This window comes from Homo sapiens, chromosome 1, assembly GCF_000001405.40.
Source record: "Homo sapiens chromosome 1, GRCh38.p14 Primary Assembly".
NCBI lineage: Eukaryota > Metazoa > Chordata > Mammalia > Primates > Hominidae > Homo > Homo sapiens.
In genome coordinates, this window is record NC_000001.11 from 156,447,240 (window position 1) to 156,460,402 (window position 13,163).

Below are 13,163 nucleotides of genomic sequence, written 5' to 3' on the forward strand. Positions count from 1 at the left end.
AGAGATGGAGTTTCTCCATGTTGGTCAGGCTGGTCTCGAACTCCCAACCTCAGGTGATCCATCCACCTTGGCTTCCCAAAGTGCTGGGATTACAGGTGTGAGCCACCGCGCCCGGCAATTAATTTTTAAAAAGAAAGGGTTTTCTGTGGAGGTGGCAGCTGAACTGGACTTTAAGTATTGATAGGATTTCAACAGACACATATGAGAAGGGGGGTTAGATAGGGAAGAAAGGGAATTACAGAGAGAAGCAATAGCAAGAACAAAGACTTGGGTCATGGGGGGAAGTGCAGGGCATGCTGAAAACTTGTGTTCTTGGCTAGATGGAATATAAGGTTCACCAAGGGCATAGGCAGGAGATAAGGCTGGCATTAGAGGGTAGAGAGCCTTGGACACCAGGCTAAAGGGTTAGAACCCCACTCGGCAATAGGAATCATTTAGGATTTTCACTTGTAAGGAGTAATGTTTAAAAGTATGCTTTATAATGACATCTGTCAGTGATAGTTGAAGAAGGTTTGCTAATTTCCAGGCAAAAGAACACTGAGGCCAGGTGCAGTGGTCTCATGCCTGTAATCCTAACACTTTGGGAGGCCAAGCAGGAGAATGGTTTAAGGCCAGGAGTTTGAGACCAGCCTGGTCAACAGAGCAAGATGCTGTCTCTACCAAAAAAAAAAAAAAAAAAAAAAAAAAAAAAAAAAAAAAAAAAGAGAGAGAGAGAGAGAGAAAGGAACAGTGAGGCTGGCCTAAGGAGTTGGTGGTGGGCAGATAAAGAGAGGGCAGATGTACTATACAGTGAACATGGGGGACCTGGAAACTGGCTGGATATGGTACTGAGGAGCAGGGAGAGATTATGTGGTGAAACTCCACACAGAGGCGTGGGCACTAACTAAACTTATTGAATATCACCACTTTCTGGTAGTTTCCTTATCTCTAAAAATGGACATAGTAAATCAGCCTTACACGGTTATTGTGGAAAGACTGGATTTGATTCTGCATGTAAGGTACCTGGCAAATAAAGCAGGCACTCAGTATGTGGCAGCTATTATTTTTATGGGTTTGAGCATGATGACTAAAAGTTTGATGATGACATTGACCAAAGTAGGAAACACAGTGGGAGGAGCGGGTTTTTCTCTTTGTCTGTGTGTGGCAGTGGGGATGGTGGGGGAAACTGGCTAACAAATTCAGTTTGAGATCTGTGGAATTTGAGGAATCGCATCCAGGTAGAGCTGTCTAGGAGGCAACTACATAATTTGGGTCTGGAATTCCATTTGGGCTATGAATCAGCAAGATAAAGGAGAAAACTGAAGCCACAGGATCAGGTGAGAAAACCCAGAGGGAGGGAAGAGCTAGGAGAGTGATGGTTGAGACACATGAACATGGCCTGCAGGCCTGCGGGATCCCAGCCCTCACTGAGAGAGGAGAATCAGGAAAGGGCGAACCATGCAGCCGGGAGAAGACAGCCTCAGGCGGAAGGGCAGGGACCTGCACCCCAGGCTACCACGAGGTGAAGAAAAGGCTTTTGATAGGGCTTTAAAGTTGCCTAAGACCCCGAAGACTGCCATTTCAGGAGTGAGGAGCTGGACCCCAGAATTCAAGATGCTGAGAGGTACATGAGAGTCAATAGACACTTCTCAGCACTCTAAAGTCTGATGGGGACTGGGCGTGGTGGCTCACGCCTGTAATCTCAACACTTTGGGAGGCTGAGGTGGGCAGATCACCTGAGGTCAGAGTTCGAGACCAGCCTGGCCAACATGGTGAAACCCCATCTCTACTAAAAATACAAAAAAAATTAGCCGGGCGTGGTGGCGGGCGCCTGTAATCCCAGCAACTCTGGGGGCTGAGGCAGGAGAATCACTTGAACCTGGGAGGTAGAGGTTGCAGTGAGCCAAGATTGTGCCACTGCGCCCCAACCTGGGCAACAGAGCAAGACTTCGTCTCAAAAAAAAAAAAAAATAATGGTGAAGGAAGGAGAAAAGAATATGGTAGTTTGAGGATAATGGAATTCTTTTTCTTTTTTCTTGTGTAGAAGAGATTTAAGTATGTTTTTGGCAGAGGGAAGAAATTACTACTCTATTAATGGGAGGCAGCAATGGCATAATGCAAAGGTTAGGGGAGGAAAGAAGGACAAAGTGCTTTTGAAAGGTCATTCTCAACAAGGAGGGGGAAAATAATCTCTCAGAGACAGGAATTTAGGAAGAGAGGGAGATAGAGGAAGATACTAAAGAGTTACAAAAAAATTACTTTGGAAGCTTGCGCAGGTTGGCCTAGAAACCTCTATGAACAAGAGCAGCAACAGTGGGGTTAGAGGAAAGTGGAGAAGATTGGGAATTATCCCTATGGGAAATTGGTCCCTCTCTGCCTTTCAATTAAGTTGTGTGCCCCAGGGGAGTTGTGAGGGTACTTGGAAGGGAATGATGAAGGATTTAGGGAAAAGGTGGAGCTGAGAGTTGGAGGGTCAGATATAATCTATTACAATGGCAACAATTAAAATGATAATATCCAATATTGGCAAGGATGTTATCATATACTGAGGTATAATTTTTCTGGAAGGCCAATTTGGCAAAATGTATTAAAATCTTTTCAAATGCGTATACTTCGTGGCCCTCTATTTGCAGTTCTAAGTATTCAATCTAAGGAAATAAAAGATATGTACAGATATGTTCAGTGCTCTTTATTTATTTGAAACAGAGTCTCACTCTGTTGCCCAGGCTGGAGAACAGTGGTGCGATCATGGTTCACTGAAGCCTTGACCTCCCAGGCTCATATGATCCTCCCACCTCAGCCTCCTGAATAGGTGGGACCACAGGCATTCTCTACCACTCTCGGCTAATTGTTTTATTTTTTGTAGAGACAGGGTCTCCTTATGTTGCCCAGGCTGGTCTTACTCTTGGGATCATATAATCCTCCCACCTCAGCCTCCCAAAGTGTTGGGATTACAAGCACAGGCCACCACACCTGGACTCACTCGGTACTATTCCTGATAGCTAAAAAAAAAAAAAAAAAAAAAAAAAAGAGGAAACAATCAAATTTTCAACAAGGCAGTAGAATACAGTACATGGTTAGAAGATAATACTTATCAGGCACTAAAAATGTCGAAAAGTATTTATTGGCATGATCAAATGATCATGACATTAGTAAGTGTAAAAGAAAACATAATACATAAAATATAAGTATATTCCTATTCTTTTAAATACCTACCTGTCTACATACACAGATACATGCATACACATATTTAGAGAGAGGGAGGGAAGGAGAGAGAGAGGTATCTGGCTTGAGCAGCTAGGGAAGTAGTGTGACCATTAGCTAGGACAAAGAATTTAGGAGAAATTAGCAGTGTCGGTGCAGAAAATACAGAGTTCCTGTTAGGTTTAACCTGTGAAATATCCTGGGGATATGCCACAAGCGTGGCTGCACACATAGGTCTGAAGCTCAAGAGAGAGATTTCAGCTATAGACATCAGGAGCCATCAGCCTTTAGAGGTTGCTTAAAACTTAGGAGTAGATGATACTACCCTGAAAAGGAGTAAAGAAGAGAGGGCAGCCGAAGACAGACCGCCTCCCCCCATCCTCAGCAATTAAACAATACTATTTACAGGGTGGGCAAAAGGAGTAGAGCCTGCAAAGAATAGTCTCTAAATTGCTAGCAATCTATAGTTCTACTACCCCAGCCGAGTACTGGAAACATGTAACCTTGTTTCCACTTTATTGATAAAATGCACAGGAGCTCTCCTCCATCACCTTTCCTCACTCAAGGGTCTGTGTATAATTCTGACTCATGCCTTTAACCCTTCTGCCTAATTCAGAGGCGACTTCTCACCTCCTTGTAAAGGCCAACCAATTCCTTGAATCCGCTAACTTCTCAATTGTCTCCCTCTGATGGTGTACTCTGAGATGTTCTCTTTATCAAACATTTTCAGCATCCCCTGTGCCACTAGCTTTGTTTCCTTTACTTACAAATACGCCAGGATTTTCTCGATCCTGAGAACTCTAACTGGCATGATTGTCTCCAATATTTCCTGCTGTTTCCTCCCTATAGTGCCAAACTTCTCCAATGCATGGTCTACACTCACTCCACAGCCCTCTTCCTTATAAACCACGGCAATGTCAAGCAACTCCCTAAACTGAAACTGCCCCCTCAAAAGTTACTGGTAATCTCCTTATCTTAAAATCCAGTGGGTTTCATTTGGCCATCACAGTCTTTGATCCTTCTGCAAATTTGATGACGCTGACCATCTTTCTTTCTTGAAAACTCTTTCCATTTTGGTTCAATTAACACTTACCGGTTCCCCTTTGGTTCAATAAACATTGACTGAACACCTCTTAGGTGCTAAAATAAAAAAGATACAATACTTGATATCGGAGTGTGAGAAGTTTTAACCTAGTTGGGAAGTGTCAATGAATTTCACAACAGAGATCTTTGCCCTGTTGAGAAAGGCTGAAGTGGTAGATGCAAACTCTGTGAGTTGAGGAGTTCAGCCAACTTACAATGGGAAGAGAGGGAGAGGAAATAGCAAACGTAATTGATATTGTCAAGAAATTTACTGGAGAAGAGAAAAAGAAAACTTTCTAGAAAATGCCTATAAGTGGCTATAGGACAATGGAGCAGTGTTTTCAGAATGTGGAGAGGCTTCAGCATGTTCTTAGAATGAAGAGAAGTGCAAGTAGACAAGAAGAAGTTGAAAACAGAGGAGAGAGAGAAGATAATGGATGGGGCAAAGTCCTGGAAGTACCAGGAAGTGTTGGGATGCATATCACAGAGCTGCTATGAACAGAGGGAGGGCGCTCTTCCACTACATCGTACTGAAGCATGTATGATTTGAGGGTGAAAAAGAGTTCCTCCTTTGGTACTATACTGGAGAGGTTATAGATAGGTGGCCCAAATACTTGGCCTAAAGATGTGGTTTTTTTTTTTGATCTGCAAAGAATTTTAAAGTAATTGGAACTTGTTGCTAACACTTACAGATCATGAGATTTCAAATAAAAATCTGTATTACCAGCTTCTTAAAAACTAGGCCAGGGGTAGTGGCTCATGTCTGTAATCCCAGCACTTTGGGAAGCCAAGGCAGGTGGATCATCTGAGACCAGGAGTTCGAGACCAGCCTGGCCAACATGGTGAAACCCGTCTCTACTAAAAACACAAAAATTAGCCAGGTGTGGTGGTGTGCGCCTGTAATCCCAGCTGCTCGGGAGGCTGAGGCAGGAGAATTGTTTGAACCCAGGAGGTGAAGGTTGCAGTGAGGCGAGATCACGCCACTGTACTCCAGCCTGGTGACAGCCAGTCTGTCGCAAAAAAACAAAAAACAAAAACAACAATAACAAACAAACAAAAACCTGGAAGATGTGGCAACACTCACATTGGTAACATGACACAGCTGACTTTAGATGGGCCATGGCCTCTCCAGTCTCCACAACTCCCTAACGCTTACCACTGGACCACTTCACTCATTTGCATGATAGTCCTCTAGGCATCTGATTCTGTCACTCCTTCTATTATTATCTCCCCTGCTTTTCAGACTGACTCTTCCATGTTACTTTCAGTGGCTTCTCTCTCTCGTATTGGATAGCTAGATGTTACTTCTGTTCTCAATCTTTTCCCACATGTTTTTCCTCTGATAACTTGTTCAGCTATCATTTCCATGTAGATCACTTGCAACTCGGTATTATAAAATCATTTAATATTGAAGTTGAAAAAGAATTTAGAAATCAAATAATTCAATCTTCTCAATCTCTGAAACCTTGTTGGGTAACAGAATTCTGTAACTCAAAAGAACTTTAGAAATTAATCAGCAGTTTAATTTACAAATAAGGAAATTGAGGTCTCGGAGAGATTAAGCAATACTTTCTACCTCACCACACAATTCTGAGCAATTCAGTACACATTTTCTGGGCTCCTACTTTCTGCAAGGCACTGTGGGGGAATATAAAGTTGAACAAGGCAGAATTCCTTCCCTCAAGAAAGCCACTTCTGTTGGAGCAGACAGACATGCACTGTGGTCTGTCCTGTAATGTGGTAAGTCCTATAATGGAGAAATGAACATAATATTATGGGACAACAGAGGGAAGCAAAGTTTCTTTTCTTTTCTTTCTTTTTTTTTTTGAGACGCACCCTCGCTCTGTCGCCAGGCTGGAGTGCAGTGGCGCCATCTCGGCTCACTGCAACCTCCACCTCCCAGGTTCAAGTGATTACCCTGGCTCAGCCTCCCAAGTAGCTGGGACTGCAGGCGCATGCCACCATGCCCGACTAATTTTTTGTATTTTAGTAGAGACGGGGTTTCACCATGTCGGTCAGGCTTGTCTCGAACTCCTGACCTCGTGATCCGCCCGCCTCGGCCTCCCAAAGTGCTGGGATTAGAGGCACGAGCCACTGCACGCGGCCCGAGAAGCCAAGTTTTAATACTGGATATCTGTTTTTTTAACTAGATGAGTAGGATCTTAAGAAGGGGATGGGCACGTTCTTCCTTATAGCTATCGTTGCACGTATGTATCTTTACTATATGAGGGAATAGACTTATGCAAATGAAGGGATTTGTCCAAGATGACACTGTTAATTAAAGACAAGGTTAGGTCTAGAAATCAGGTCTCCTAACTCCAACTCCAGTGCTCTTTCCCTTATATCTCAGTGTGACATATCACCCCTTATCTCTCTTGAGCACTATCCCATATTGTTAATTGCCTGTTAGGCATTTCTTCCAGTTAGGGTGGATCAAAAATCCTGTGGCCACATACAACACACAACAATATACATAACCATAACAACATACTTCATATCTATTTTGGCAATAAGTCCTGTTAACTTGTCCTTCCAAATGTTTTTTGGGGGTGAGATGCAGTGGCTCACGCCTGTAATCCCAACACTTTGGGAGGTTGAGGAGGGAGGATCACTTGAAACCAAGAGTCCAAGACCAGCCTGGGGAACATGACAAGACTCTGTTCTACAAAATTTAAAAATTAGCCAGATACAGTGGTGTGCACCTGTAGTCTCAACTACTTGGGAGGCTGAGACGGGAAGATCGCTCGAGCCCAGGAGTTCAAGGCTGCAGTGAGCTATGATCATGCTCGCTGCACTCCAGCCTAGGTGACAAAGTGAGACTCTGTCTCAAAAAAAAAAAAGTCTTTTTAATCTAGGCCTTTCTTTGGCAACCACTTCTACGACCCTAGTGGAAGTGGACAAACTTATTATCTTAATACGGTTTTGCCTTCAGCCTCTGAAAGACTCATAGAGCCTTATAGTTGAAAAGAACCTCAGAGGTTATCTATATCCAAACTTCAGCTGAAGACAGAATTGTTTCTATATTACTTCTGATCCTGACAATGGTCAGCCAGCTGCTGTGCAGGGCACTCCCTACCTTCAGAGGCAGCTCATTTCACTAGCAGACACCAGGGTAATTACAAAGTTCTGTCACTCACCTATGAAACATGTTTACTAACATGCCAGACACAGTGCTTGGGACACTGGATATATAGCTGCACAGGGTCCCCATTGGCCTTAAGTAACTTTCAGTTACTTGAGTCTCTTCATCTCTAACATGGAGATTATTGAAGCCTTCTTGTGAGAATCACCTGGTATAAAGTGTGTAGAAATGCTCTTTAACTAAGGGCAATACATGTAAGGCTTTCCCCTCCAGCTCCCTCCTCTTTTTTTTTTTTTTTTTTTTTTTTTTGATTGAAGACTGGGTCTTGCTCTGTCCCCCAGGCTGGAGTGTAGTGGTGTGATCTCGGCTCACTACAGCCTAGACCTCCTGGGCTCGAGCAATCCTCCCACCTCAGCCTCCCAAGTAGCTGGGACTACAGGTGCACGCCACTGTGCCCGGCTAATTTTTGTATCTTTAGTAGAGATGGGGTTTCACCATGTTGCCCAGGCTGGTCTCGAACTCCTGGACTCAAGTGATCCACCCGCCTCAGCCTCCCAAAGGCAAGGGATTACCGGCATTAGCCACCACGCCCGGCCAGCTTTCCCTCTCTTCAACTATGTAATGTACTGGGGTGGGAGGCTGTGATTCCATTATCATCTTTTAAATTACATTTTATACATACAAAAGAATAATTATAATGTATACATGTGTTATATACTTAATTAGGTTAATACCCATAAACCTACCTTTTATCCCAAAAACTGCACCATTACCAATGGCATCCACCTGTGTGTTTTTTCTCCTCCCATCCCCAATCTCTCTACGGTAACTATTAATACATTTTGTGCTTATCATTCCTTGCTTTTCCCAAAGTTTTATCATATATGTAAACACAATATTGCTTAATTTTGCTTGTTTTGGAACTCCTGGGCTCAGGTGATCTTCCCGCCCTGGCCTCACAGAGTGCTGGGATTACAGGCGTGAGCCACTGAGCCTGGCCTGTTCCTAAGATTGATCCACTCCGATTATGTACTTTGTACCTATTTTCCAAGCCTCATCTTCTTCACGCAGCCTTCAGATCACAGGAGCACAAAGTGATCTTTCCCGTTTCTGAACGCCTCTAGCACTCATTTTCTATTAAAAAAAAAGAAAAAGAAAAAAAAAAGAAAGACTGAAACTGCCTTTTTCTTGATCTTATGTGCCGTTAGGCCAACTAAACACAAGCTTCTTGGAGAGCAAGGAAACTGCTTATCATGGTAGAAGAGCACTGAATGGGGCCAGGAGCAGTGGCTCACGCCTGTAATCCCAGCACTTTGGGAGGCCGAGGCGGGCGGATCACCTGAGGTCAGGAGTTCGAGACCAGCCTGGCCAACATGGTGAAACCCTGTCTCTACTAAAAATACAAAAAAATTAGCCGGGCGTGGCGGCGGGCGCCTGTAATCCCAGCTACTCGGGAGGCTGAAGCAGGAGAATCGCTTGAACCCGGGAGGCGGAGGTTGTAGTGAGCCGAAATCGCGCCACTGCACTCCAACCTGGGCGACAGAGCAAGACCTTGTCTCAAAAAACAAACAAAATAAAAACAAAGAGCACTGAATGGGGAGTTGGGTCGCCAGGGTTCCAGGCCATTTCACCTTGACCGGCAGTGTCCTTGGACTCGTCCCCTTCACCTTCCTGAGCGTCAGCTTCTTTACTTGACAACCTGTTTTTTGTTTTGTTTTGTTTTGTTTTTTTGTGAGGAACTTCTGAGACAATGGATATAACTCACTTCGTAAACTGCGAAGCATCCTCCTCAAATCAATGTTCGTGCCATCGTTGGTTCCCCGCTCCTAGAGGGGCCTCTGCACAAAGACCCAGGCCAGTGACTCGCTGTGTTTGGGGACGGTCGTGTCGCCCCCAAGGCAGGGGCCAAGATGCTTCCTTTCTTCTGGATCTCCCAGGCAGCGCCAGGTCCCGAGGCAGTATTGACTGAGGTTAGGAGTTCAGGAAAACGGCCAGGAGGACAGAGGGCGCTGTCCCCTCTAGAACTGAGCAGGGCGTTAGATTTAGAGGAGGTGTTCGATTTACGCATGCGCACCCTCTCCGGGAAGACCTGGCAAGACCTGGCAAGACCCAGCCAAAATTGGCTCTCTCGGCTCGGTTTTTCCCCATCTAGGGCTACATCTTCTGGGTGCGCATGCGTCCTGCCCGGGTGCGGTTGGCTGATGATTCCGTCTGCCACTGGCAGAGCCAGCGCAGTGAGGCTGAGGCCCCGCTTCCCGCCCATTGGCAGGGGCGCGGAGAGTGGACTGGGGTCTTTGGCCGCACCCACTGCAGTGTTAGACGAGCGGATTGAGGACACTTCCCGGCCGCGGGCCGCAGGCTTGGAAGCGTTGGTTGGCCGAACCCATTGTCTCATTTGCCTTGTCACAGCAGGGAGGACGCCGGGGGAGAGGGGTGAGGGGACTGCTGCGTAGGGCGGCGGGACTGGCGCTGCATCCGAGCAGGGTCCGATGGCCAGTTGCCAATCAGCCATTTATTGAGCGTCTTCTGTGTGCCATACACTTAGGACTATGTGATTTCTGCCTTCGGGGATTTTACAGCATAGAGGAGATTAAACAAGTGACTTTATTGCCTTCCCTCGACCTCCCTTCTACCCCTTCGCCTTAGATGGAGATTTTCTCTTTCTGAACCCGGAACCGCTCCCTCCTCCCCGCCCGGCTATAGCTGGCAGGACAGGGATTGGATGCCACGGCCGGTGCGAGCCTTCGCTCTCCGCCGAGGGTAGTGACACAGGCGAGGACGGGCCCCGCAGGTCACATGAGGGCGGGGCCTGGCGGGCTCGTGACCTTCCCGTAGGCGGGGTCCCTCCCCTCCCAGCTCGGGCCGACAGCGTCGTCACCAGCTTTTATGGGGCACGTGGCGGCTGATGCACAGTAAATAGAAGTGACTCTCCCCTACGAAGGCGGGGACCGCACTTTATGAGACCAAACAAACTGCCCGAGCGAAGCCCTTGGAGCTCTAAATACTTGGCAGCAAGTACAAAGCAAAGGTGGCGGGGTGGAGGGGGTGACGGGGGGCGGGGGATTGTCAAATGTAAATCAGTCCGACTGGAAGCACTAACTCCTGAGCGCCCCCTCCCAGGCTGATCTGAACTAGACCTAGCAGGGAGAAGTGCAGGAGGCTGTAGGAGCTTCCTACTGCCTCCTTTTCCTCTTGGGCCTCTGGTTTACCAAGTGTGAAATAGGGCAGGGGAATGGACTTTGGATAGTGACACAGTGATTTAAGACAGCAAACAGAGTGCCAGGCGCCGTGGCTCACGCCTGTAATCCCAACACTTTGGGAGGCCAAGGAGGGCAGATCACGAGGTCAGGAGTTCGAGACCAGCCTGACCAACATGGTGAAACCCCGTCTCTACTAAAAATACAAAAATTAGCCAAGTGTGGTGGCACGCGCCTGTAATCCTAGCTACTCAGGAGGCTGAGGCAGGAGACTCGCTTGAACCCAGGAGGCAGAGGTTGCAGTGAGCCAAGATCGCACCACTGCACTCCAGCCTGGGTGACAGAGCGAGACTCTCAAAAAAAAAAAAAAAAAAAAAAAAAAGACTGCAAACAGATACGAGGGGCTGATATGAGGGGGCTGTATTGGCTCCAGTAGAAGTGAGCCATTCTGGGACCTGGGGTGGGGTCGCCCAAGTGTCCCTTTCACATATGCTGTTCTGAAACAAGTTTCCACAATCACAAGGCTGGAAAAGTTACTCAGCCCATAGGACTGAGGGGTGTGAGTCAGAAGAACATGAGCTACAGAGAAGTGGTCTGGCCTTCTTGGCTGGAACAAATACCACCCTTTGCCTCCTGCCTACCAAGAGCCACCTCTTTGGATACAGGAGCCCAGTGGGTGCTAATTCTTCTGTGCACCGATATCTGAGTCCAGAAAACTGGGACCCTAAGGATCTGTGCTGCTTCAGGAGCTGATCTTGCAGCTGAAAAGTAAAGGAGAAGCTGCAAAAAGTTATATGCTCTTGAGTATTATTTTAAAAAATCTATAGGGTTTGTAGTACTCCACAGTTTACAGAGTGCACTTTCACATGCATTATTTCATTTTAGCCCCACTGAACACATACTGTGTGCCAGGCATGGGGACAGATACAAACATGGACAAGGCAGTGCATTTTTTCTTTTTTTTTCCCCCAAGACAGAGTCTTGCTCTGTCACCCATGCTGGAGTGCAGTGGCACGATCTTGGCTTACTGCACCCTCTGCCTGCCGAGTTCAAGCTGTTCTCCTGCCTCAGCCTCCCGAGTAGCTGGGATTACAGGTGCGCACCACCACACCCGGCTAATTTTTGTTTTTTTTTTTTTTTTGAGGAGTCTTGCTCTGCTGCCTAGGCTGGAGTGCAGTGGCACGATCTCGGCTCACTGCAACCTCTGCCTCCCAGGTTAAAGCGATTCCCCTACCTCAGCCTCCCGAGTAGCTGGGACTACAGGCGCCCGCCACCACACCCGGCTAATTTTTTGTATTTTTAGTAGAGATGGGCTTTCACCACGTTGGTCAGGCTGGTCTTGAACTCCTGACCTCGTGATCAGCCCAGCTTGGCCTCCCAAAGTGTTGGGATTACAGGCTTGAGCCACTGCGCCTGGCCTAATTTTTGTATATTTAGTAGAGACGGGGTTTCACCATGTTAGCCAGGCTGGTCTTGAACTATGACCTCAGGTGATCCACCTGCCTCGGCCTCCCAAAGTGCTGGGATTACAGCTGTGAGCCACCGTGCCTGGCTGGCAGTGCATTTTTAAAAGGAGCTTCACTACGGTTGTAGAGAGAAAACAGAAACTGGTACCTACATTTCCAGGTAAAATGAGGTAGGTGCTATAAAGAAGGGTTAGATTCCTGGCCGGGTGCGGTGGCTCATTCCTGTAATCCCAGCACTTTGGGAGGCCGAGGAGGGCACATCACGAGGTCAGCAGATCGAGACCATCCTGGCTAACATGGTGAAACCCTGTCTCTACTAAAAATAGGAAAAATCAGCCGGGCGTGGGGGCGGGCGCCTATAGTCCCAGCTACTCGGGAGGCTGAGGTAGGGGAATCGCTTGAACCTGCGAGGCGGAGCTTGCAGTGAGCCTAGATCATGCCACTGCACTCCAGCCCGGGTGATACAGCGAGACTCCATCTTAAAAAAAAAAAAAAAAAGAGGGGGGCAGATTCCTGAGACACTTCATTGGAGGATACCACAGCCAGCTGGGCAGGACAAGGGAGGGAGAGAAATCAGGAAAAGTTTCATGATGGGAAAATTGTAGGAGTAAAACCTTAAAGATAGGAAGGGTTGCGAAAATAGAAATAGGCGTGGTAGAGCAGTTTTTTGCTAGACCTCTTCTTACCTAAACCAAGTAAATTCATTTATTTTCACGTCTTTGACTAGTAGCAGTAGTAAGTATTCTCTTCAGTATCTACAAAACTCATTTTTTCTCCATCCTTCTGTCTACGACTTCCTTGGGTGTAGGCTCTCACTATTTCTACTTGTAGAGCATCCTGACAGGCCACTTGCCTCCAATGCGGCATTCCTTTCCAGTTGATTTTCAGCATTACTGTCAGAGGGGAACTTTTACTGGCAGGAGCTTTCTGAAATGCAAGTTTGGTCAAATCCCTCCTCTACTTAAAATCTTTTGATGACCAAACATCTTCTGCAGAATAAAGTCCAAGTCTTGGCAATCAAGGCCCTTCATAACGGGGCCTCTGCCTACCTCTTCGGTTCTATGTGCTGTTCCTTTGACCTGCACCACAGTATTTGATTTCCTGAAGCCACCATAGTCTCTCCATACCTTATGTGTTATTCCTGCCATAAGG

The 13,163-nt window shown here is 46.7% G+C and overlaps 6 annotated features.

The window, feature by feature from the left end:
• Positions 1,481-1,981: an enhancer, noted in NCBI's record as "H3K4me1 hESC enhancer chr1:156418512-156419012 (GRCh37/hg19 assembly coordinates)". NCBI's record gives its function as "activates a minimal SCP1, AML or CMV promoter by ChIP-STARR-seq in primed H9 embryonic stem cells {active_cell/tissue: H9 hESC(primed)}" and the evidence as "EXISTENCE:reporter gene assay evidence [ECO:0000049][PMID:30033119]".
• Positions 9,321-9,370: an enhancer, noted in NCBI's record as "active region_1861". NCBI's record gives its function as "activates an Ori minimal core promoter by ATAC-STARR-seq in GM12878 lymphoblastoid cells {active_cell/tissue: GM12878}" and the evidence as "EXISTENCE:reporter gene assay evidence [ECO:0000049][PMID:35858748]".
• Positions 9,464-10,421: an enhancer, noted in NCBI's record as "NANOG-H3K27ac-H3K4me1 hESC enhancer chr1:156426495-156427452 (GRCh37/hg19 assembly coordinates)". NCBI's record gives its function as "activates a minimal SCP1, AML or CMV promoter by ChIP-STARR-seq in primed H9 embryonic stem cells {active_cell/tissue: H9 hESC(primed)}" and the evidence as "EXISTENCE:reporter gene assay evidence [ECO:0000049][PMID:30033119]".
• Positions 9,511-9,560: an enhancer, noted in NCBI's record as "active region_1862". NCBI's record gives its function as "activates an Ori minimal core promoter by ATAC-STARR-seq in GM12878 lymphoblastoid cells {active_cell/tissue: GM12878}" and the evidence as "EXISTENCE:reporter gene assay evidence [ECO:0000049][PMID:35858748]".
• Positions 10,478-10,979: an enhancer, noted in NCBI's record as "H3K27ac hESC enhancer chr1:156427509-156428010 (GRCh37/hg19 assembly coordinates)". NCBI's record gives its function as "activates a minimal SCP1, AML or CMV promoter by ChIP-STARR-seq in primed H9 embryonic stem cells {active_cell/tissue: H9 hESC(primed)}" and the evidence as "EXISTENCE:reporter gene assay evidence [ECO:0000049][PMID:30033119]".
• Positions 10,980-11,479: an enhancer, noted in NCBI's record as "H3K27ac hESC enhancer chr1:156428011-156428510 (GRCh37/hg19 assembly coordinates)". NCBI's record gives its function as "activates a minimal SCP1, AML or CMV promoter by ChIP-STARR-seq in primed H9 embryonic stem cells {active_cell/tissue: H9 hESC(primed)}" and the evidence as "EXISTENCE:reporter gene assay evidence [ECO:0000049][PMID:30033119]".